General features: G+C 41.8%; 1 protein-coding gene across 4 annotated transcripts in view; it reads right to left on the minus strand.

The window, feature by feature from the left end:
* Positions 1–26,270, minus strand: part of PCYT1B (phosphate cytidylyltransferase 1B, choline) — a 114,801-nt gene that overhangs the window by 42,016 nt on the left and 46,515 nt on the right. For all 4 annotated transcript variants that reach the window (NM_001163264.2, NM_001163265.2, NM_004845.5 and 1 more), the window contains 2 exons: positions 18,883–18,982; positions 7,643–7,759 (listed from right to left, as the gene is read on the minus strand). In NM_001163264.2, coding sequence (NP_001156736.1) covers positions 7,643–7,759; positions 18,883–18,982 — 217 coding nt within the window. The remainder of the gene's footprint in view (positions 1–7,642; positions 7,760–18,882; positions 18,983–26,270) is intronic.

Here is a 26,270-nt window from a genome sequence, read left to right on the forward strand (position 1 = left end):
TGTTGGCCAGGCTGGTCTGGTCTCGAACTCTTGACCTCAAGTGATCCACCCACCTCGGCCTCCCAAAGTGCTGGGATTACAGGCGGGAGCCATTGCGCCTGGCCCATAATTTTGTTTTAAAATGTCAATATTGGATTTCTGGTTTCCAGTCTGGTAGGTAAGGAGCTTAAAAGTGGCCACTCGGTCCTGACAACAAGTAAAAACTGAACAAACTGACAAATCTACAGGTCTTCTTAGATCCATCAGAGAACTGAGGTCACAGGGCAAACCACTACTCCCAAAATTGGAGAGAGAAACAGGCAGATAGAGAGAATATTAGCTTACTAGAGCAGAAACCCACAAGCAGAGCTACCTCCCCAGGAACCAGTGCTGGGATAGGAAAATTTAAACTGACAAATCGCTGGCACCTCAGTGTGGACAAGTCTAAGAGTTCAAGAAGCCAGGGGACAAATACTTTTGTGGGTTTTACCTCCAGGAGCTCAAGTAGGGCCTCAGAGTGACAGAGCAAAACCCTGTCTCTTAAAAAATACATAAAAATAAAAATAAAAGTTTATATGGAAAGGAAAAAGATCCAGAAAAACCAAATTGATATTGAAGGAGAAGAAAGTGTCAGAAAACTGACACTATCTGACTTCAAAACCTACTATAAAGCTACAGTAATCAAGACAGTGTGGTATTGGCAAAAAGAACAGACAAATACATCAATGGAACAGACAGAAAGCCCAGAAATAGACCCAGACAAATATACAGAGAGCCAGTCTTTGACAAAGGAGCAAAGGCAAGCAAACATAGACCTTTCAACAAATGGAACAAATGGACATTCACATGCAAAAAAAAAAAAAAATTAATCTAGACATAACCTTACATCCTTCACAAAAATCAAATGTAAATGCCAAACTATATGTAAATGTAAAATGCCAAACTATAAAACTCTACAGAAGAAAACCCAGATGGGTTTCTTCTGGGTATGGTGGTGACTTTTTAGATACAACACCAAAGGCATGAACCGTGACAGAAACAATTGATAAGGTGGACTTTATTAAAATTAAAAACTTCTGTTCTGCAAGAGACAATGTTAGGAGAATGAGGAAACAAGGCATAGACTGGGGGCCGGGCACGATGGCTCACGCCTGTAGTCCCAGCACTTTGGGAGGCCGAGGTTGGTGGATCACCTGAGGTCAGGAGTTCAAGAACAGCCTGGCCAACATGGTGAAACCCTGTCTGTACTAAAAATACAACAATTAGCCAGGTGTGATGGCACATGCCTGTAATCCCAGCTACTCGGGAGGCTGAGGCACAAGAATTGCTTGAACCCGGGAGGCAGAGGTTGCAGTAAGCCAAGATCGTGCCACTGCACTGCAGCCCGGGCAACAGAGCGAAACTCTTTCTCGAAAAAAAAAAAAAAAAAGACATGGACTGGGCGAAAAATATTTGAAAATGATACAACTGATAAAGGACCGCTACCCAAAATATACAAAGAACTCTAAAACTCAACAATAAGAAAAAAAACAGCTGGATTTTAAAAAATGGGCTACAGACCTTAACAGGTACCTCTCCAAAGAAGATCTACAGATGGCCAGGAAGCACATGAAAAATGTTCAATATCATATGTCACTAGGAAATTGAAAATTAAAACAACCTACTATACACCTATTAGAATGACAAAAGTCCAAAACATTGATACAACCAAATGCTGGCAAGGACATGACGCAATAGGATCTCTCATTTATTGCTGGTGGGAATGCAAAATGGTACAGCCACTTCGATCTGCAGTTGAATGCTCTACCTCTGAGCTATACCCACTCCTGGTACAGCCACTTTGGAAAACAGTTTGGCAGTTTCTTACAAAACTAGACATATTCCTACCATGCAGTCTAGCAATCACACTCCTTGGTATTTATCCAAATGAACTGAAAATGTATGTCCATACAAAAACCTCCACATGGATGCTTATAGCAACTTTATTCATATTTGCCAAAATGCGGAAGCCACTAAGATGTCCTTCGGCAGATGAATGGATAAACTGTGGTACATCCAGACAATGGAACATTATTCAGCGCCAAAAAGAAATGAGCTAGCAAGCCATGAAAAGACATTGAGGAGCATTAATTGAATATTATGAAGTAAAAGAAGCCAATCTGAAAAAGCTACATGCTGTATAATTCTAATTATATGATGTTCTAGAAAAAGTAAAACTACACTAAAAAGAACAGTGGTTGTCAGGGGTTACAGGGAGGAAGAGATGAATAGGTAGAGCATATAGGATTTTTAGGGCAGTAAAAATAGTATCTGTATGATACTATCATTGTGGATACCTGTCATTATACAATGTACATCTATGAGTTTGGACAATGTAAAATTTTATCCAAACCCATAGAAGGTATAACGTTAAGAGTGAACCCTAATGTAAACTATGGACTTGAGGTGATAATGATGTGTCAATGTAGGCTAATGGATTGTAACAAATGCATCAGGCTGGGGCAGGATATTCATAGTAGGGGAAGTTGTGCCTGTGCGAGAAAGGAGTATACAAGGATTCGCTGTACTTTCCAGTCAATTTTTCTGTGAACCTAAAACTTCTCTAAAAAATAAAGTTTATTAATTTTTAAAAAGGCTAATACTCACAATATTCCAGAATTTACATCTTTTATAACTACTTAAATTAAGAAGCAGATATCTAAATTTTATTTACTTATTTTATTTATTTATTTATTTATTTGAGATGGCGTCTCGCTCTGTCACTCAGGCTGGGGTGCAGTGGTACAATCTCAGCTCCCTGAAACCTCCACCTCCCAGGTTCAAGTGGCTCTAGTGCCTCAGCCTCCTGAGTAGCTGGGATTACAGGCACCTGCCACCATACCCAGCTAATTTTTGTATTTTTAGTAGAGATGGGGTTTCACCATGTTGGCCAGGCTGGTTTAGAACTCCTGACCTCATGTGATCTGCCTGCCTCGGCCTCAAAAAGTGCTGGGATTACAGGCGTGAGCCACTGCACCCGGCCTGATATATAAATTTTAGACATCTGCTTTAAACTGTATAAGAAGGTATACAGATTTTTCAAAATTCTTTTAGAGATTGTGGGGAACAAAATTTCAAGACTCCTAGTCTAAGACAGTGGTCCTCAACAAGGATTTCATCATTCTCTAGGAAGCATTTTGGAAATCTGTGGGCCATCTTTAATTGTCATAATGGTTGGAGGCAGCTACCAGCATTCAGTGGGCAGGGGCCAATGAAGCTAGTCATCTTGCAATGCATGTGGCAGCTCTGCATGAGAATTTTCCCACATCCCTGCAAGATTTTTGAAAGTCCCTGCATAATATTTAAAATTATTTGAGGTTGAGTGTGCTAGCTCATGCCTGTAATCCCAGCATTTTGGGACACCTAGGCCAGAGGATCACTTGAGCCCGAGTTTGAGACCAGTCTGGGCAACATAGTGAAATCCCATCTCTACAATAAACAAAAACAGAAAAATTAGCCAGGCATGGTGGCATGTGCCTATAGTCCCAGCTACTTGGGAGGCTAAGATGGGAGGATCACTTGAGCCCGGGAGTTTGAGGCTGCAGTGAGCTGTGATTGCTCCACTGCACTTCAGCCTGGGAGACAGAGCAAGACCCTATCTCCAAAAAAAAAAATGATTAAATAAAAAACTTAGAAAAATAAAATTATTTGAGTCTAGAATCTGCCTTTGTTTTGCATACAATCACAAAGTATTTCTGCAACAGTTATGATAGACACAGAATTTTAGAGGAAGGCAATTACTATGTACATCAAAGGAAGATTGCACTTTGTTTTGTTTACAATTTTACCAAGAGGCATTCACCATTTGGGAAATCACACCCAGACAGCAATGCCACTCTTGGGATTTGAGCTCTTATACCATGCCCCCATAGCAGTCTGCCTATACACAGGAGGTTAGAGATTCCATTTAACAGACTTGGGATCAAATATTAAATTAATGGAGACATATGAAATACAGGATGTCACTGAATTTTTTTTTTTTTTGAGACAGAATCTCACTCTGTGGTCCAGACTGGAGTGCAGTGGCATGATCTCGGCTCACTGCAACCTCCGCCTCCCAGGTTCAAGCAATCCTCCTGCCTCAGCCTCCCAAGTAGCTGGGACTACAGGCGTGCAGCACCATGCCAGGCTAATTTTTTGTTGTATTTTTAGTAGAGACAGGGTTTCACCACATTGGCCAGGCTGGTCTCGAACTCCTGACCTCAGATGATTCACCCAACTCAGCCTCCCAAAGTGCTGGGATTACAGGTGTGAGCCACTGCGCCCAGCCAGGATGTCACTGAATTTTATTAGCAGAGTGGTTAGAAGATATTTCATAGTATTACAATTCGATTATTTTAAATGAGATGATAAGAATAAGAAATCTACAGAGAAAAGAACACACTGAAATTATTTATTATTGTTTGTGTTGCCCATGGTTGGTGTTTTTCTTGTTTGTTTTAGAGATGAAGTCTCACTGTGTTGTGCAGGCTGGAATGCAATAGCTATGCAGAGGTACGATCATAGCTCACTATACCCTTGAACTCCTGGGTCCAGGTGATCCTCTTGCCTCAGTCTCCTGGGTAGCTGGCACTACAGGCATGCACCACCATGCCCAGCTTTCACTCTTACTCTGTCACTGTTCCCAGAAGTCTACATACTATTTCTTTATAGCTTGATGCTGTATTGTTTTATTTTCTTCCTGTACTCCAGTCCTTGTCACTTACCAAAGGATACAGTCTCATGGTCATCCAAGTAGTTCAATATGCCCTTGACTTCCACAACCCATGTAATAGCCATTAAGGGAATATCTGAAATTCTGTGTAAACCTACTATAGAGGACATCGTTCTTTGGATTACTCAATGCCCCTTACACAGTGACCCTCTGAAACAGTTATCTCAGAACTCAGGCAGGAAAAACTAGTTCTTCCTGATGGTACAATTCAGCTTCTAGAGTTTGAGAGTGATAGAATGACTGTGTGGCCCCCTTTGCTATAGCTGCTAAAAAGTCCAGGATTTCTTATTGAAATTTTTCTCCTTCTCTTCTGCTTTATTTCTTGGCTCCAAACTTCTGCCCATATTAATTTCCCTGAGTACTGAATCATCTGTGCTTTTATGGAAAGCCTCCTTAAGATACACAAATCAAAAAACTAACATGTCACCATGTCTTCTCTGCTTGCCTCACACTGTTGTCTTGACTGGTGAGAATCCTGCACAAGGAAGACTGGATGTTCTGGCTTTTGAGTGCTTTTATTTCATTCAGGTCTCTGCACAAATGTCACCTCCTCAGAGAGGTCTTCCCTGACCTTTATACCTAAAACATCCCTCCTTCCTCCGCCCAGTCACTCTTTTCTCTTTTCCTATATTTCTTCATAGTACCACTACTACATATTTACTTGTTTAGTGGGCAATGACTGCCTCTCCCTCAGACTGCAAGTTCTCTGAGGACATAGACAGTCTGTTTTGTTCATGGCTGCATCCCCAGTGTACAGAAAAATGCCTGGCACATAGTAAGAGTTCAATAAAGAGTTGTTAGATGAAGGGGCCGGGAGCGGTGGCTCACGCCTGTAATCCTAACACTTTGGGAGGCTGAGGTGGGTGGATCACCTGAGGCCAGGAGTTCGAGACCTGGCCAACATGGTGAAATGCTGTCTCTACTAAAAATACAAAAAAGTAGCCGGGCATGGTGGCATGTGCCTGTAATCCAGCACTTTGGGAGGCTGAGGCGGGTGGATCATGAGGTCAGGAGTTGAAGACCAGCCTGACCAACATGGTGAAACCCCGTCTCTACTAAAAATACAAAAATTAGCCCGGCATGGTGGCACGCGCCTATAATCCCAGCTACTTGGGAGGCTGAGGCAGGAGAATCACTTGAACCTGGGAGGCGGAGGTTGCAGTGAGCCGAGATCATGCCATTGTGCTCCAGCCTGGGTGACAGAGCAAGACTCCATCTCAAAAAAAAAAAAAAAAAAAAGAAAGTTGTCAGATGAAGAAATCAGTGAGTCAGTGAAACCATTGTTGCCTAATGACCTAGAGAGCTGCTGATATTAACTGACTGCCTCCTCCAATTTACAAGAACGTACTGAAAACTACACATTTCCTTTTATCTTACTTTGGATGTGATAACCCAGGGCCACAGCTAGTGTTCCTGTTAACTGTGACCCACACCTAACCACCTCCAAACTTAGGCCACCCAAATGACCAAAGCCCAAACACTGCAGAGGTCTCTCCAGGGCCCCAGTAGCCTAGGACCAGACTCCAGGTGGTAGTGCTCTCTCAAGGAATGGTTTTCAGGCTAAAGGGAAGTAAGCAAGGGTTGGGTTCTCTGCCTGTTTTGGGTTCCCTCTGCATGACTTGCCCAGTAACCATTGCCTTCCACCATTTCCTCCTTCTGGAAAGAACTCCATTCAATGGTCCTGTGGTCACCACCCTTGGCAAAACCTGCAGAAGAGTTCCTCTTAAATGTCCAACAAGTGGTTTTTGGCTGGGCACAGTGGCTCACGCCTGTAATGCCAGCACTTTGGGAGGCTGAGGTGGGTGGATCACCTGAGGTCAGGAGTTCAAGACCAGCCTGGACAACACGGCAAAACCCCATCTCTACTAAAAATACAAAAAAAATTAGCTGGGCGTGGTGGTACATGCCTGTAATCCCAGCTATGCAGGAGGCTGAGGCGGGAGAATCACTTGAACCCAGGAGGCAGAGGTTGCAGTGAGTCAAGATTGCACCACTGCACTCCAGTTGGGCGACAGAGTGAGATTCCGTCTCAAACAAACAAACAAACAAACAAAGTGGTTTTTAATTGCAGAAGGTAACAAAATTCTTTAAAAAACAGTTATGTAGTCTCTTACCAGTACTTTTTTCCCCCAGTAGAGGTGTAAGACTTGATGGTGCCTAGTTTATATGCCACAAAAACTGATTACTCTGAATGAATATGCTCCTTCCTGAAGCTGCACAAGTGAAATACAGGTCTTCCTAGTCAGGTACTATCCCTTTTAGCCAAAAAGAAATAGGCCTCCTGGAGGAGGAAAATTTCAGTCCACATCTAACGATCCTTCTCTTTCCATAGACTTAGCGAGTAAATTGGTCCCTTCGTTGTGAACCAAGATTACCTCGGTATATAAATCTCCATGTCTTTAACACACTGCTACAAATTCAACTAAGTGGGGCTGTTACAAGCCACTAGTGTTAGCACAACATTGTCTTAAGTGCTGCAGGTCACACAAAAGAAATAGACGATGACCTTGTTTGTTCTTCATCATCCTAACTCCCTTTAGTTCTTTGAGATTTGAAATCAGAATAATATTGCTTCTCTTATCCCTCTAGAAAATTTTAGGAACATAATTTGGATCAAGCCTTAAACACTAATAGAAAGGCATTAATGGAAAACATGAAGCATTTACCCTTGGTGGTACTATCAGTCCATCTCTCTCTGAGGATCAGGGTTATACAATCCCATGATGTAACTTCCCCTATGGTTTTTCAAACATCATTTTAAATTTCAGGCAGTGAACAAGCGAGCCAGTATGGGCTGAATTGGAAGCATTAACAATGTGAGATTTTTACTGATGGAACTCTGAAAGGGGCTCTTTTCAGAAAGCATACAATAAAAGAGTTTTCTAGACAAAAAGAAAATGCACTTCTTACCTCCTACCAACAAGTAGCTGTTGGGAAACAGTGTTTTTGCTTGCATAAGGGCTCTTGCATGACCTGAGTGGAAGAGGTCAAATATTCCATCGGCGTATACTCTGACAGGCCTGTCAGCTGTGGGAGAAAGAAAACACTGTTAACAGAACTGCAGAATGAGGAATCCCAGTTACCTTCTATCAGTCGTAAGAAACTTTCTGGATAAGACACAATCTCTACATACCATCAGTTTCATATCAGTGCACGAAATTGATTTTAAAGGGGTTCTTCTGAAGACATCAAAGCAGAGCAAAAACATAACAAACTTAAGATCAAACCAGGGAACACACTATTTTAGCCAACAGAAGAGACAAAAACAGAGCACTGAGGAGTTCTCTTGACCCAGAGTGGAGTCTAGGTGCCTGAGCCGGCAGAGTCAGCCCAGCTGGAACACGTAGGCAGGAGTAACTGAGGAGCTCAATGGAAAAGGCAAATGGCTTCATCCTTGGGTGTGGCAGTCCTGAATGAAGACCCCAAGTCCCTGTTCTCAAAGGCAACGATGTACTGGAATCTGTTCACATGGCTCACCTTACAACCTTTCTTCCCAACTCCAGGTCACGTTGGTAGCCTGAAGTCAGCCACGATAGAGTGCTTCCACGACAGAAGTTGGCAAATGCTACAAATCAGGGCTTATTTCCCGCTAGAGGACCAGCTGTTAAACCTTTACTAGCATACCACTGCAAGGCCACTCCCTAACCTCTTTGGTATAATAAGAGATTAGGGACATACGCCTCAAAGGGAGGAGAGTCAGGATGTAATGTTGCATGTAGAAGTGGTGCTCAGGGCTGAAGATGAACAACCAACACTATAGTCCTTCCTAGGGAGAAAGGTCAAAAGTGAAGAGGTCACACAGACAGTGGCATCTAGTGCTCTAAAAAGTGCTGTTCCAAGAGGAAGAGGGACACACTTCAGTACAGCACCTCCAGGAACCAGGAGACCAGGATAACACTATTGCTCAGCCAGGCCAAAGACCCATCCCCTTCAAGTCAGAGAGAGAAATTGGGTATAGACTTCCATCAATTTGGTAGACAAAGCAAGTCACAAAATTATTCTTTTTAACTGGTTGGAGGAAGGAAGTTGCAGCTCTGTTATATCCCCATCATGATACTCTGGAAGATGCCTCCTACATTTATATAGAAAATTCTATGTATTTTGCCAACCTTGACACCTTTCTAGACTCTCAACAAAGGAACTAGAATGTGAAAATCCAAGAAGATTCAAAAATGGATGACAGGAGAAAGAAGTAGTTTCTCATATCAAAGTGCTCTCATTCTAAGCACCCTTGTCACCTCATCTCCACGGCTACAAACAACATAGAGACATTTTATTCTTGCAGTGAGAAGGAAAGAGACATATGTGGCCACAATAGTGTTTTTTGTTTTGTTTTCTTTTTTTTTTTCTTTTTGAGACAGAGTCTTGCTCTGTCGCCCAGGCTGGAGTGCAGTGGCGCAATCTCGGCTCACTGCAACCTCCACCTCCCGGGTTCAAGCAATTCTCCTGCCTCAGCCTCCCAAGTAGCTGGGATTACAGGCACTCAGCACCACATCCAGCTAATTTTTGTATTTTTAGTAGAGACAGGGTTTCACCATGGTGGCCAGGCTGGTCTTAAACTCCTGACCTTGTGATCTGCCCACCTCAGCCTCTCAAAGTGCTGGGATTACAGGCGTGAGCTAATAATGTTCTTTAAAAGGAAATACAAAGACCATCAGTTAAATATGGTGAACTGAACATACACATTATCTCTACTTTCTCCCAGAAACACCACAACAATTACTAAGAGTTAAAAGTTACAGAGTTAAGAGTTAAAAGTTAAAGTTAAAAGTTAAGTTAAAAAGATATAATCCTCCCAAGGGCAGAGAAAACAAGAAAGGCAATGACAATGGATGAGAGATGTCAACAACATTATGGAAAGTTGACTGTCAAGTGTTGAGTGCCTACAGGGAATAAGAATCAGGGGTGAAGAAGGTGGAGAAAGGGACCGCTAGTTTTCTTTATAAGCTGGGAGTACTACTGACTTTTAAAAATAGTCGGGCGTGGTGGCTCAAGCCTGTAATCCATGCACTTTGGGAGGCTGAGGCAGGGGTGGATCACTTGAGGTCAGGAGCTCCAGACCAGCCTGGCCAACATGGTGAAACCCTGTTTCTACTAAAAATACAAAAATTAGCCAGATATGGTGGTAGGCGCCTGCAATACTAGCTACTCGGGAGGCTGAGGCAGTAGAATCACTTGAACTCAGGAGGCAGAGGCTGCAATGAGCTGATTGCGCCACTGCACTCCAGCCTGGGTGGCAGAGATAGACCGTGTCTCAAATTATATATATATATATATGCATGTATTACATTGATGTTATAAAAATAAATTTAAAAAAGAAATCAATGCCAACTTCTGTTAAATGATCTTTAAGACTTAGATTTAAAATTGTGATTATTTCTTGATGCAATGCAACCTCATTAATTTGGAACATAAAGAAATGTTACATTAATAGATTCAGATGATACAATGTTTCTAATAAATTAAATTTCTCTAATAAAAAAAGTTGAGAGACTTTATGTCAGATAGGGAATTGCAATTATTTCCAATTATACACAAATTTGAACAAACAGAATTGCCTTCATAGGATTATACTGTATTCTAAATAAGGCACAGTAAATAGAAAATGCTTTGAAATAACAAACTGTCTAATGAGGGAGCCTTGCTTTCAATGTTCTTATTCAATGTGAATTCAATTGAGGAAAATTTGTTTTAAGATATAAACCCCAGGGGAAAGCAGATGGCAGTTTTGTAAAACTTTTTGTTATTGATTCAGAGGTGATCAAGAGAAATGAATTCAGGAAGCAGGGAGGAAAGAAAAGTAAAGAAAGAAGACGTAATTACTGAGAAAAAGGCCATTTAGTAAATCTGAAGAGTATTTACAAAGTTGATTTTGCAATAAGCTCACTTTTAAAAATTGTGGTGTGTCAGCAATTTCCAGACTGTGGGAAATTCTCCAGGACTCCCCTCCCTGCCAAAAAAGGACCCTGATCTTTCATCTCTTCAACAAATAAACTTCAAGGCAAAAAAGAGAGAGAGAGAAAGAAAAAGAGAAATGAAAGGGGGATCTGCAGATTGAAAGAGATTTTAAAAACATATCAACCTACTGTAAAGTATGGACATTATTGGGTTCAAACAAGCTATATATAAATGATGACATAAGATAATTAGAAATTGGAACACTGAATATTTGGTGATATCAAGGAATTATTGTTTTTTCAGGTAAGATCATGATACAGTGGTTATGTTTAATAAAACCAGAGCTCTTATTTTTCAGACATATACACAGAATTCTAGGAAGTCTGGGATTTTGTTTCAAATCATTCAAGAGGACAGAGTAGACAGAGGTGTGCATGGTGCAAGACTGGCCATGGGTTAGTGGTTGTTAGGTATGAGTGACAGGCACAGGAAGGTTCATTATATTGTTCTACTTCTGTGTGTGTTTGAAATACTCTATAATAAAGCTTTAAAAAAAAACAGAGTATGGCTTTTTAGTTTGTATGTTGATCTGTTTTAATCTTTTGTTTGAGATTTTTCTGGATATGCTTTTAGGCATCTGGGGACTCTCCAGAGCATCTATGTGAGATTCCAGAGCATCTATGTGAGATACCACTGACCTGTGAAGCTGGAGGTTTGGCAATGACCAGGAGCCAATTGAAAACAAAAAAAGATGTCAGAGTACAACTATTGCATGGCTATCGTGGAGAGACGTTAAGGTGGCTCCTAATGATCTCTGCCTCCTGGTGCCCATGCCTTTGTGTAATTCCCACCCCTTGAAGTGCGTGTGGGACCTGTAACTTGCTTCTAATCAGTAGAATATGGGAAAGGTGGTAGACATTATTCCCATGATTATGTTACATTATAAGACTCCATCTTGGCCAGGCGTGGTGGCTCACACTTGTAATCCCAGGACTTTGGGAGGCCGAGGTGGGTGGATTACCTGAGGTCAGAAGTTTGAGACCAGCCTGGCCAACATGCTGAAACTCCGTATCTACTAAAAATACAAAAAATTAGCCTGGCGTGGTGGCGGACGCTTATAATCCCAGCTACTTGGGAGGCTGAGGCAGGAGAATCTCTTGAACCCGGGAGGCAGAGGTTGCAGTGAGCCGAGATCACACCACTGCATTCCAGCCTGGGCAACAAGAATGAAACTTTGTCAAAAAAAAACAAAAACAACAACCACAAAAAGAAACAAAAAGGGTCCATCTTGCTAGCAGACTTACTGTCTTTCTGCACTGGTGGCTTTGAAGAAGCAAGCTGCCATGTTGTGAAAGGGCCTATGGAGAGGGCCACATGGCAAGGACCTGCAGGTGGCCTCTAGGAGCTGAGGGTGGCCTCTGGCCGACAACTGGTAAGAAGCTCACCCCTTGATCTTACAGTCACAAGGAAATAAATTCTGCTAACAACCTGAGTGAGCTTGGAAGCAGATCTAACAACAGTTAACCTCCAGATGAGAACTGAGCCTGGGGTGACACCTTAAATGCAGCCTGTGAGACTCATGACGTTTGCTCTTCAAAAGACATTTTTACAAAAATGAAAAGGTGAGTCATAGACTGGGAGAAAATATTTGCAAAATATAGGACTTGTATCTAGAATATATAAAGAACTCTCAAACCTCAGTAAGATGAACAACCCACCACCCAGTTAAATAAAGCAAAAATATCGAACAGACATTTCACTAAAGAAAATAAATACAAGGATGGCAAATAAACACAAGAGAAGATCCTCAATAACATTAGTCATTAGGGAAATACAAACGAAAACCACAATGAGATAACACTTCATACACACTAGAATGGCTAAAAAATGTTTTTTAATTGGCCATACCAAGTGATGGTGAGAATGCAGAGCAACTGGAATGCTCATAAACTGCAGATAGGAATTTAAAGTGGTACAATCGCTTTGGAAAGCAGTTTGGCAGTTGTTTAAAAAGTTAAACACACACCTGCCATACAGCCAAACAGGAGGTAATCACCAACCACGTTACGTTTAAATTCACACTACTGTGGGGTATGTTAGGCGTTTTTTGGTATTTGCTTCAGATTCAAGCAACAATAAAATAGTGATTGATCATCTTTGATTATGGCTATTAACAAGGCTTGGATTGTGGCTATTTTAAGGCATTTAAACAGTACCTTAGAAATACACACAATTCACAAAACACATGTATTTCACTTAATCTTTGCATCAACCCTATGAGGGAGCCAGGTGAAAGTAGACTTATCATTTCATGGATGGGCAAATGGAGGCTCAGTGAAGTTAAGCATCTTACCCAATGTCATACAACCAATTTACGATGATGTTTGAGTGCAAATCAAACTCACCACTCTTTCTTCTACCTTGTTGGTACCTGCTAGAAAACTACATGCTGATATGAATTCTTGTCTTTAAAACAAAACAGAAACTATTATTAAACACCCAGTAATTATGGCAACTAGTACTGTTTTTTGTATAACTGATGTGCAAAAAAAGTGGCACAAGTTAAGCTTTTAAAATCTTATAGTTACATATTTATTTTATATAATTTATGTAGTTTTATATAAACTTTGTAGTTACCTTCTGCTTATCATTAGCCATTGCTACTAGCTAATGATACTATTTTCTGTAAATGATAGTGATTGATGTTTGCTTTTTAAAATACATTAAAGTTTTAGAACAGTGAGTATATGTAAAGAAAAATTATTAAGTAAATTACATCACAGATGATACATGAATAAGGCAGATTCATTAAGGCGGCTCTTGAAAAATGTAGTCAGGGAAATTCTACACACTGTGGAAACAGATAATACAAACTTCCTTTTTGAAAAGGAAAGTAGAAAATCAGAACCGAGATTCCCTTTAAGAAAAGTCAGTTTAGGGCCGGGTACAGTGGCTCATGCCTGTAATCCCAGCACTTTGGGAAGCTAAGGTGGATAGATGGCTCGAGCCCAGGAGTTTGAGACCAGCCTGGGCAGCATAGTGAAACCCCATCTCTACAAAAAATACAAAAAATAGCCAGGCATGGTGGCACATGCCTGTGGTCCAAGCTACTTGGGAGGCTGAATTGGGAGGATTGCTTGGGCCTGGGAGGTTAAGACTGCAGTGAGCTGTGATTGCAACACTGCACTCCAGCCTGGGTGACAGAGCAACAACCTGTCAAAAAAAAAAAAAAAAAAAAAAAAAAAAGAAAGAAAGAGAGAAAGAAAGAAAGAGAGAAAAGAAAGGCAGTTTTAATGAAAAGGAACCTATGAAACAATCTCCTGGACTTTTCCTTTATGTCAAGACAGGATTTATTCTCCATGCATCAGAATACATACAACACTGTGTATGTGCACAGCTCCACAGCTGGACTAGCTAAGACCAAAGGTGCCGATTCTGATTGCTTTTTTGATTTATTCTGTTCTTTCTCTTGAAGTTTCATCACCCTTGTGACCTCACAAACAAGGTCAAAAAGCTAAGAGCTATGGGCAGAGTTTGTCATTACCTCTTCTAGAATTTGTACCCCCAGCCCCTGTTTGGGCAGTTCTAAATTTGTAAAACACATTTTAGGCAATTATATTATGTCATAAAATATGGCTAGTGTAGGAGATGGTAAGAGAGTCCAGTTATAGCTATAATCTAGGCCAGGCACAGTGGCTCATGCCTGTAATCCCAATACTTAGGGAGGCTGAGATGGGCAGATCACTTGAGTCCAGGAGTTCAAGACCAGCCTGGCCAACATGGCGAAACCAGCTCCACTAAAAATACAAAAGAAAAACAAACAAAAAACTATAATCTTGAAGAGCATTATCAAATACCAAATTCTGCTATGTTTTGTCTTTTTTGAGGGCACGCTCAAGACAGTGCCACAAACAGGTAAATTGCTTACTACCCTTGAAACCAAACCCTTCTTGAAACTCTTGAAACCAAACCCTTCTTGACCAAACCCTTCTTGAAACTCTTGAACAAACCCTTCAAAAAAGTAACGTTTTTCTTGTTTTCTTAAATGGTAATCAAACAGCAAGATTCTTAAAAATTCTCCGAGCTTTTCTGCTAACAGTACAATGCTCCAACAATTATGATATTGGATAATCTCCCTACCACTCCTTCTAACCACTGCCGACAGTTGCTCTTATGCTGTGGTTCTCAAAGTGTGGTCCCAGGACTAGTAGCAGCAGCAGCATCACCTGGGAACACGCCACCACGCCTGGCTAATTTTTGCATTTTTAGTAGAGATAGGGTTTCACCATGTTGGCCAGGCTGGTCTTGAACTCCTGACCTCAAGTGATCCACTCGCCTCGGCCTCCCAAAGTGCTGGGATTACAGGCATGAGCCACCGCCCTCGGCCTGATATTTGAAGTTCTAAATAAAGAAATTTCTAACACAAGTACCCTGGCTAGGTACTCATCAACATCACGGATTTTCTTAGATAATTTCCCAGGGTCATCACCTCAGGTTAGTGGGCAGAATTTCTCTTCTAAAGATCAGGAGTTCATCTTTGTTCCATCTCACTCCCCCTCTAATGACCTGTATTATTTCAAAATACACCACCATCTTATTACTGCTTAAACTGCTTGGCAGCAGGCAATGTACAGGTGCCCAATTTCACCCAGTTAGCTTGATACCAGCTCAAAATGCCAGAACAAACTCTCTCTGCTTCTATTTCCAGAGGAAGAACTACTTCTCTTGTCCCACACTTTTTTTTTTTTTGAGGTGAAGTTTCATTCTTGTCGCCCAGGCTGGAGTGCAGCGGCTCGATCTCAGCTCACTGCAACCTCTGCCTCCCAGGTTCAAGAAATTCTCCTGCCTCAGCCTCCCAAGTAGCTGGGACTACAGACATGCACCACCACACCTGGCTAATTTTGTACTTTTAGTAGAAACAGGGTTTCATCATGTTGGCCAAGGTGGTCTCAAACTCCTGACTTCAGGTGACCCGCCTGCCTCCAAACTTTCATTCATTCACTCACAAAATATTTATTGACCGCAGCGTATGCAACAAGTATTTCTCTAGATGCTGATGAAACAGCAGTGAGCATGGCATAGTCCTGCCACTACAGAAGATCACAGCTACTGTCTGAGCATGTTTTCACTTAGCTCCATGGCCTGCTGTGGACCATGATTCATAAGGCAGATCGTTGCAGTAGGCAAAGCAGGGGTTTGAGGCAAAATGGACTTGGGGTCAAATTCCAGCTCTACCCAGTCAACTAGGACACTTGACAAGTTACTTTTCAGTTCTGCAAGTCTCCTTTGTCTCCTCTTTAGAAAGGATACAATAATAGTCATCTCACATGGTCTTTGCAAAGAGTACAGAGCATCACATCGAGCAGATATATACAGATATATAGTAAGTTCTACTTCCCTTTCCTTTCCCTAGAAAGGTAGAGGCCCTTTCAGTTTGGGCCTGATGCTCACCCTTTAACTTTAGGTCAAGTCTGTTTTCTTCATAACCACCTGGACTTTTTTTTTTTTTTTTTTTTTTTTAAAAAAACAGAGTCTTGCGCTGTCGCCTAGGCTGGAGTGCAGTGGTGCGATCTCGGCTCACTGCAACCTCTGCCTCCTGGGTTCAAGCGTTTCTCCTGCCTCAGCCTCCTGAGTAGCTGGGATTACAGGCATGCGCCACCACGCCTGGCTAATTTTTTGTATTTTTAGTAGAGACAAGGTTTCACCATGTTGGCCAGGCTGGTCTCTAACTCCTGACCTCAGGTGATCTGCCCGCCTCAGCCTCCCAAAGTGCTGGGATTACAGGCATGAGCCACCACGCCCGGTCAGCCACCTGGACTTTTATTTGGCATCCCTTGGATATATTGCTGGGTTGGTATTTCTGTGTGTGGTCTCCAGACCACTAACTTTAGAATCACCCTGACTATCTGTTTAAAATGCAGATGGCTTGCCTGGGCCCCATCCCAGATTTGGGAAGAAGGGAATGAAACAGGAAATCTGCTTGTTTAACAAGCATACCAGGTGATTCTTTGTACACTAAAGCCTGGGAACAACAGCTTTGGCTGCTCTGTGCTACCTCCCCAACCTTGTTTTGCCTTTTTCAAAAGCAGCTCACACGAAAGCTTCCTAACTCTGCCTACTCTGCTCCTCACTTCACTCTATTGAAGGCTATTCTTATAGGAAGCACAGTGTCATGGTTGAGAGGTCAAGCTCTAAGACCAATAGGTTTGAGACCAAATCCCAACTTTACCACTTACCAATGGTTCTCCCAGTGTGATCCCTGGAGCAGTAGCATCACCTGGAAACTTGTTAGAGATGTAACTTCTTGGGCCCCACCCCAGTTGGACTGAATCAGAAACTCTAGGAGTGGAACCCAGCCATCTGGGTTTTAAGAAGCCCTCTAGTAGATTCTAATGCAGGCTCCAGTGTGAACCACTGCCACTTAGTAGTGAATGACCTTGTGCAGATTCACAACTTCTCTAAACCTTCATTTCCTCATCTGTGAAATACTAAAACTACTAATCACATAGAGTTGTGATAGTGAAATGACATGATACATATAAAGATCTTAATACATAGTAAGTACTTAATAAGTATCCATTATTATTGTTAAGCAAACTGTTCTTCATTCCATGGATTCTCTTAAGTTTGGTTTGTTTGTTTTTTTTTTTGTTTGTTTTCTGCAATGGCAACTAGAAACCATAGAGTTATGCCATGTTATTTTATTTTATATTATTATTATTTTTTTTTTTTTGAGACAGAGACTCACTCTGTCACCCAGGCTGGAGTGCAATGGTGTGATCTCGGCTCACTGCAACCTCCACCTTCTGGATTCAAATGATTCTCTCACCTCAGCCTCCCGAGTAGCTGGGATTACAGGTGCCTGCCACCACGCCTGGCTAATTTTTGTATTTTTAGTAGAGACGGGATTTCACCATGTTGGCCAGGCTGGTCTGGAACTCCTGACCTCAAGTGATTTGCCTGCCTCAGCCTCCCAAAGTGCTGGGATTACAGGCATGAGCCACCGCGCCCGGCCGAGTTATGCCATGTTAAATGGCTTAAAGTTTACCTGTTCAACTAGTCTTATTTTTCACCCCATCCCAATCAACTAAAACAACACTCACTCCTACACAGCTGTCTATTTCTGTCTTCACTATTCCTCTTCCACCTGTCTGCAATACCTTTGCATCTTCTGCCCACACAGTCCAAATCTTAGTTCTCCTAAAATGTCTGTTCTGCTCCCTCCCGGAAGTCTTGCATGATCACTCAGGCCAAATGAATCTGCCATTCTCTAAGAATCAGTTATCATCTGTGTTGCAGGTTTTAACCCCTAAGCACCTGCACACATGCTACTAATGTTTTTTATTTCACATCTAGTTGTCTTGTCTCTTGAAAAACAGATGGTACCTTATAATTCTTTCCAAATCTCTTCCCTATCCATCCTCTGGCATAATGCTAAAGGGATGAATGAATGAACAAACTTCTATAGCACAACCCACTCTTTTTAAGGCACACTAGAAACTTTTTTTAAAAAATGCATACTTTTAAGAATGGCAATAATTATAGTAGCTTAGGTTTGTATATGCCTTCATGGTTTTAAAAATGCTTTGGTACTTTTGATGAATCTAGTTATCACAGAAACCTTGTGAGGTAGGTATTGTTATCCCTGTTTTAAGGAAACAGATTCAGATCTTTCTAGTGACTTGCCCAAGGCTGTAGAACTAACAAGTGACAAAGCTGGGGCTCAAACTCCCTGTATTCTGATGCATCTTTTTCTTGGCTCCTTTGGTTGGTCTGGTTTATCACTGCTAGTGTTTACCCTTCTTTACCCTTGCACTGCGTTATAATCTCTAAGTTCAACTCTCTGCTTGAAAGCAAGTGCTGCACAAATAATGATGGGCCTTTCTGATACTTTTTTTTTTTTGAGATGGAGTCTTGCTCTGTTGCCCAGGCTGGAGTGCAGTGGCGCAATCTCGGCTCACTGCAATCTCCACCTCCCGGGTTCAAGCAGTCCTCCCACCTCAGCCTCCCAAAGTAAGTAGCTGGTACTACAGGCGTGCACCACCACACCTGGCTAATTTTGTATTTTTAGTAGAGATGGGGTTTCACCATGTTGGCCAGGCTGGTCTCAAACTCCTGACCTCAAGGTGATCCACCCACCTCAGCCTCCCAAAGTGCTGGGATCACAGGCATGAGCCACCACGCCCGGCCCCTTTCTGATACTTTAAAATGTCAAGACAGGGCCCATTTAAGACAAAGAAGTACAGCCTCACCTGGTGTTCCTAAGCGGGCCTGAGCAATGGTCAGTTTTTCATGGGGTGCTTGACACTGGCAGTTGGTTTCATCAGCAAATGGGGCAGGTGCAGTCAGGGTCTAGAAGGGAGAAAAAGAAAGGGAATACAGTCTGACAAACTTTCCTTTGGCACTAACTTCCTCTGAAGTTTTATTCCTGTTGGCTACACAGGTATGATTAAGAAGTCAAATATATCCACTGAGTCTCAGAGAAATACTGTACTGTTAGACATAAAAATAGGGCATCATCACTGAAACCTTTTGGTTTGTTTTTTACTGATGCTTCAGAAATAACAAAAGCTCTTCAGTGTCTATAGTATGCCAGGTACTAGATGAGATACTCTGCTGTTATCTCTTTTAGGCTTCGCAGCACCCCGTGATGAATAGATACTTCTATCCTTCTAGAGCATAGGATAATACTATCCCTATTTCACAAAAAGGAAACTGAGGCTCATTAGAGTTAAGAAATACGCCAAGTCATGCCCTTGGAAAGTCACAATGCCCAGCTTCGAACATTTCACAACCGAGGGCAGTCTTCAAACATTTAGACTCACCCACACCCAGGAGACTTGGCTGGAAAGAGTGCCATACTCAGAAGCGTGGCACGCCATCTCCTATATTTCACACACACCAGCTTGGCCAATGACAAACTCTGATGTCTCTTTCAATGCAAAGGCCAAAGCTGTTATCTGTGCCTTGGGAAGGCTTAAAAGCACAGCAATTTGGGCAGGCTGCAGATGACTTCTCCTGTGGTAGCTTCAACAGCGACTAGCGGCTAGAGGCCCTGCCCCAGGCAGCTTGGGCTGGGGCTCTGGGGAACGCTGTGAGAAAGATGTAGTCACTTGGAAGCCTGCCCAGAAAGTGGCCCTGCATTTTTTAGTCAGCCTCTTAAAATGAAAACCTCACTCTCTCCAGACAAAGCAAGCGGTGTTTTTGTAAACAAGGCAAATGCAATCCAGAGTTGTCCATTTGTAGTCTTTGAACTGTGCCGTGATTGCAGTCACCACTACATCATCTTTGTGATTTTTAAAGCTAAAGTGGATCAGTCATGGTAAACATTATTCACTGTGCTGTATCAATTGTTTCTTAGAGATGGAGACAGGTTAAGATGTGTTCCTTAACCTGGGGACACTAGACTGAAGAATGATCCATACATTTGGACAGGGGCTATGACTCACTTCTGCCATTTATTTATCCATTCACTCACTCATTCAAATAAGTGGCAGGCACTATCTTGGAATCTGGGGATAGAAGTAGGGATAAGACCAATAATCCCTGCCCTTGGGGAGCCCCCATTCTCTGCACTGACGAGAACCGATCCCTCCCCTGTCCCCATCCCCTCTCCCCATTGCAGTCCCTTCCACCCTAGAAGCTCAATGTTGTCTGGAGGCCTCCCAGTTATCTGAGATTTTCTTAGCCCTCACCTTCTCCTCCAGGGCTCTGGAAGCAAACCAAGACTTGGGACAAGGATTCAGGAAACTTGGGTTCACTATTCGTTCTTTTTCAGATACATTATGGCGACCTCATAGGCTGTGGTAGACCACAGTGGCATTTGTAATGTAGCAAAGGGGTGCAGTGACAAGAACAAAAACTCTGTATCCACAAACCCCGGGTTCAGATCCCCTCTCCAGCACTTACTAGCCATGTACTTTAATTTGGCTCTTCTGGTTGAAAGGAACTGACACTCACTAACAGACACTCACTAACATTAGCTCAAAGGATGGAGGATTTCTTTTAAGACTACCCTGGAACTGAAACTGTGGAAAAGCAGGAAAGGGGCAGAATGTGGCCCCAGAGAAGGTGCTCTGCACCAACTTGGCTGCTCTCTGCACATGATCCTTTCTGTCCCACCCCCACTGACTCCATTTCCTTCCACTGCATTAAAGCCGCTGCTTGCTTTCCACTGCCCCACAGCTTCAGCTCTAATAGGCCGGCCCATCATGGCCTCCTCAGCCTCTCTTCACAACACTCATTTAACAACTTTCCATTGTGCCTTTCAGCCCTAGACTCCTACCAACTTATTGACTCTTTCCATGTTTCCCAATTCAAATTCCTAAGGGAGAATCTGATTGGCCAAGTTCATCTTTTCAAATCAGGCCTTAACCAGGATTGGCTGGCGTTCGGTCAGGCGCCCACCCTGGGGCCCAACAGATGTGGTGAGGAAAGTCATGAGTGACCCACCACTACCACTTCAGGAGGAGCTATACTTGAGGCAGGAAATATTTTTGACTTTGTGTGCTTAAAAGCAAGTTCCTTAACTTATTTGAACCTCAGTTTCATCTATAAAATGGGCTATTCATTTTGCAAGGCTGTTGTGAAAAGCAGAGATAATATGTGTAACATACCTGGTACTTAATAAACTGTAGCTATTATTACTGCTATTATTATTCACTATTATATATAATATGATATAATAATAGATAATATAGTTACCCACAGAAACAAGCAAATTGACTCATTTTTATTTATTTTTTATTTATTTATTTATTTTGAGATGGAGTCTCACTCTTTCTCCCAGGTTGGAGTGCAGTGGTGCGATCTCACCTCACTGCCACATCCGTCTCCTGGGTTCAAGTAATTCTCCTGCCTCAGCCTCCCAAGTAGCTGGGACTACAGGTATGAACCACCACACCTGGCTGCAAATTGACTTATGAATGGACTTTTAGCACACAACCCAAATGGATAAATGGATTGGCAAGTGGGATTAGCTTACATTAATGATTCATTACCTTTTAATATATGTGGGCAATGAACCTTTTTCACATGACCTAAAATAAATTACTATTTGGAGATCTTGTATGTGCTACTCACAAAGTTTATTAAAGAGGAGATAAGGTGTTGCCATTTTCCAAGAATGGTGTGTTCTTGATGGTGTGAAATCTGGTAATTAAAACAGAGATAGGGAACGTTGTAAAGCAACAATAGTTACTCAAAGGGGAAGAAAAGGTTTATATGCACCGTGCATTTTGTTCTTAATTATTATGGCCTAGAAGTAGGAAAGAAGGAGAAACAAAGAGATGGAAGGCAGAGAGAATTCCTAAATGTGCGAATGTGTTTGTGTTTGCATGTGTGCACAGGTGACTATCTTTAACAGCAGTTGATATGGAGAAGAGCTATTTCTTGTTATGTATAAAGCAATGTGCTCAGAATGGGGAGAATGAAAAAATAAATGAGCCACAGCCTTGCTGTCCAGAACATTGCTTTCTAAAGCACAGCAGGGTACTTCTTGAGTTGATCAAGCTCTGCATTCAGGAAGACTTTGGTTAAGGCCCAGCTACTACCAACCAGCCCGGTGACCTGAGACAATGTTTTTTCAGTCCAAACACACCAGATTACAATTAAAAAAAAACTCCTTCTCTGAGCCAGAACAAATCATTTGCTTTATAAAAAATTCTATGCTCCTTAGGTTCTGTCTCTTCCATATACTAGAGGCAGATCAACTTCAGGACAATGTGAGTAAGATAGAGGCTTCTGGGAGGGGCAGGAACTGAACTAACTTCACCATTTGCCAAAGCTGAGATGCTTCCAGGGATCCTCTGGTGTAGACCCTACATAAAACTAAGGCCTGATAACATAAGGTAATAGCTAAATCTTTGAGTACCTACTTAGTGCCATGTATCCATCGATATACTAAGCACTTTAAATGTATTTGCTCATTTAATTTGTACAACACCTCTGTGAGGTAGATATTATCTTCACTGAACCAGTCTTCAAGGTGACACCAAGTGACAGCAAGAAGCAACAGCAGTGGTAGATCCCTCAAACTCAGTTACCTTTTTGGCTCCCTGTGAGCTGAGGAAACCCTCAGGATTTTTAGACTATAGGGATGGAAAAACCTCGAAAAGGGGATACATGATTTCCTGATAGAGAAGGGGTAACTCAAACAATTAACTGAAGAAATAAAAGCATGTAACCATATTTTTGGCCAGACTTAATGAAGTAGGTCAAATGACTTGCTTGTAGTTATTTGCAAGCCTCAGGTTAGACTTTAAATCAGCCAGATCACATTTTGTAGTGTTTATTAGCACATGATACATGTTTAATATGATGCTAGGGGTTTGGAGGATAGAGAAATGGAGGAGAGAGATAAGAAAGGCAGGAACAGAATTGGCTTTGCAGCAGCAATCTTCTAAAGTGAAGAATGACCGTTTTAGAATGGGAGAAGGTATTCGTTTGAAAGGGCATGTTCATGTTCATGTTCAGTTTTCAATAACGTCAGATTTGGGGAAAACCACTACTCTTTTGAGCATGAAAATCATAGAAACTAAGCTTCTGAACTTGTGAAGATCACAGAAGACAGACTATGCCCTTCTAGAGAGCCATATTCCAAATTTGGGGTTTGGTTGGCACATGAGATTTACATATATATATATATATATATATATATATATATATAACTTTAAATTCTAGGGTACATGTGCACAACGTGTTTAGCAGAAGACAGCAAGGATCATAAAGGGTTAAGAAGCCCTGGCCCAGTGCCCTGGACCTCACATATGCAAGGGCCTTGCCAGACCACAGACTTGGAGCTAGGTTGCAATAAAACTTCTTTCTACCTAATTGAAGATTTCAAAATACTCAGTCATTACAAGGTGAATATGTTACCCATTTGTCACATAAGTTCTGGTTATATAAACTATGCCATAGAATCATACCAAAGCCACATTTCATCAGGCTTTTAAAGAAGACATTATATGTTGAGCATTTCATGTATAGAATCTCTTCAGTTGGACATTGTCAAATATTTACTTAAAACAAAAGCTATTAGGTACTGGACAATGGACAATGCAAATATTACTTAAGTGCAAAAAAATGGTTGCTAGAACCTGCACTTATGCAATGTACATCGCTGACTGACAACTGGACCAATCAGACAACAAGCTAATCAACCAATCAGAACTTAGCACAGTACTGCTGATGGTGATAGGCCAACTGCAGAGTTGCTTGTTTAAGCTAAGCTATACTTTTTTTTTTTTTTTTTTTTTTGAGACAGAGTCTCGCTCTGTCGCCCAGGCTGGAGTGCAGTGGCGCAATCTGCTCACTGCAAGCTCCACTTCCCGGGTTCATGCCATTCTCCTGCCTCAGCCTCCCAAGTAGCTGGGACTACAGGAGCCCGCCACCACACCCGGCTAATTTTTTGTATTTTTAGTAGAGACAGGGTTTCACTGTGTTAACCAGGATGGTCTTGATCTCCTGACCTCGTGATCCGCCCGCCTTGGCCTCCCAAAGTGCTGGGATTACAGGCATGAGCCACCGCGCCCGGCCAAGCTAAGCTATTCTTAACTCCAGTGGGGCAATCCCGTCAGACAGGCCTGAGTTCAAATCCTACCTCCATTATTTAATATCCCTTTCCTATTTTTACATTTGATTTTTAGCAAATTGCTGGTTCTTAACCTCTCAAGCCTTAGTATCCTTGTTTATGAAAGGAGGATAAGCTGTTGTGAGGATTAACTAAAAGAATGTGTGGGTAATAAATATCTTCCCTTTTGCCTCTCCAGAATCCACTCTCTTTCTACCCTTCTCTATGCTTTTCCTCTACTCTTTTCTGTATGGCTTCCCCAATGGACTGCACCAATGGGATCTCTGCCTCCTGCTTCCAGTTGGTTGGGAAGCGTGCAAAACAGTGGAGGTCAGGACAAGAGTGAGCTCAGGGTATTTGTCTCCCTGGCTTCCTCTCTGCTAGGAAGCAGTGTGTTGGTTCTGTCCTTTTACCAAAATTCACAGCTTCTGTGAGGGGGTCCTCTTTATAGAGCTGTCTGTGTGAGGTTCTGGTAACCACACTCACCCCTTGCCCCTACCAGCCTGGGGGATGGCAATCCCCCATTGTTTCTAGGCCAAGGATACTATACTATTCCTTGAGGTTTCCTTAAACCCTGCCCATACCTTTGTAAGTATTACCTTTATTAAACTCTCTTTCAATTTCACCTTTAGAGTGAGCCATCTGTGTCTTGACAGAGCCTTGGTTAATACCGTGTCTATAACAGTTTGTCAGGCTCAAACATTAGCTAGAAAATGCTGATGAGGTATGTTAGAAGCATAGAAATCAATTGAAAAGTGAATTACCCAGAGTAACTAAAGTTATAACCATCTCAAGAATGTCTCTGGTAGAAAAGAATTTTACAAAGACAGAACATTTTAATCAGGATATGCAAAAAAAGATAAGAACAGGACTTCAGAAAGAATCTACTTCTTCCAGGTAGGCCTTTTGCTGTGAAACTCATCAGCTTTAGAACCACAAATTCAGAATTACAAAAAGACATCACAAAATCTAATCCAGCAGCCTCATACTGTTAGGTTTATATTTACTTGTTTCTGAACATATTTTTAAAACCTTATTTATTGTGGAGTCAGAATATTTTGTCTTTTGAAGATAGAGAGGACAGAAAAAAATAGATAATATAGTTAACCATGGGCCCAACACACACGAATCACTGGATTCTTAGACTGTGTCACTGATTATGTAGACTCTTAAATCAGGCAGCTGGTGCAAAGTCATCACCAATAAATGTCACTGGAGAGAAGAAAAAAGAGGCCCAGTATGTGGTTCAGCACCAAGAAATATCCATTTTTTTCATTTAGTTATGTATGGAATGTACATGTTATAAGTAACAGGCACCATTGAAAACAGCAAGACAGATACGTATGTACTGACAGGGAATTATATCTAAGACATTTTGTTGAATGCAAAAAGCAAGTCACAAAGCAATATGTATAATATGTATGTATACATGCTATCTAGTATGATGTCATTTATAGTAAAAAGAGAGAGAAGGGGGAAGAGAGAGAAAAAGAAGAAAAGAGAGAGGTAATTGTGTAGAAATAGTTTAGGGACAGGCGCGGTGGCTCATGCCTGTAATCCCAGCACTTTGGGAGGCCAAGGCAGGTGGATCGCCTGAGGTCAGGAGTTCAAGACCAGCCTGGCCAACATGGTGAAACCCTATTTCTACTAAAAATACAAAAATTAGCCGGGTCTGATGGCACACACCTGTAATCCCAGCTACTTGGAAGGCTGAGGCAGGAGAATTGCTTGAACTTGGGAGGCGGAGGTTGCAGTGAGCTGAGATCACGCCACTGCACTCCAGCCTGGGTGACAAGAGTGAAACTCTGTCTCAAAAAAACAGAAAAAAGAAAAGAAAAAGAAATAGTTTAGAACTGTGCTAATATGGTAGCCATTAGTCACATGGGGCTATTTAAATTCAAATTATAATTAATTAAAATTAAATAAAATTAAAAGTAGTTTGTCATTCACATTAGCCACATTTCAGGTGCTCAATAACCCATGTGACTACTGGGTACTATACTGGGCAATGCAGATATAGAACATTTCTATCATCACAGAAAGTTCTACTGGACAGCACTGGACTTGAAT

This window comes from Homo sapiens, chromosome X, assembly GCF_000001405.40.
Source record: "Homo sapiens chromosome X, GRCh38.p14 Primary Assembly".
NCBI classification, from domain to species: Eukaryota; Metazoa; Chordata; class Mammalia; order Primates; family Hominidae; genus Homo; species Homo sapiens.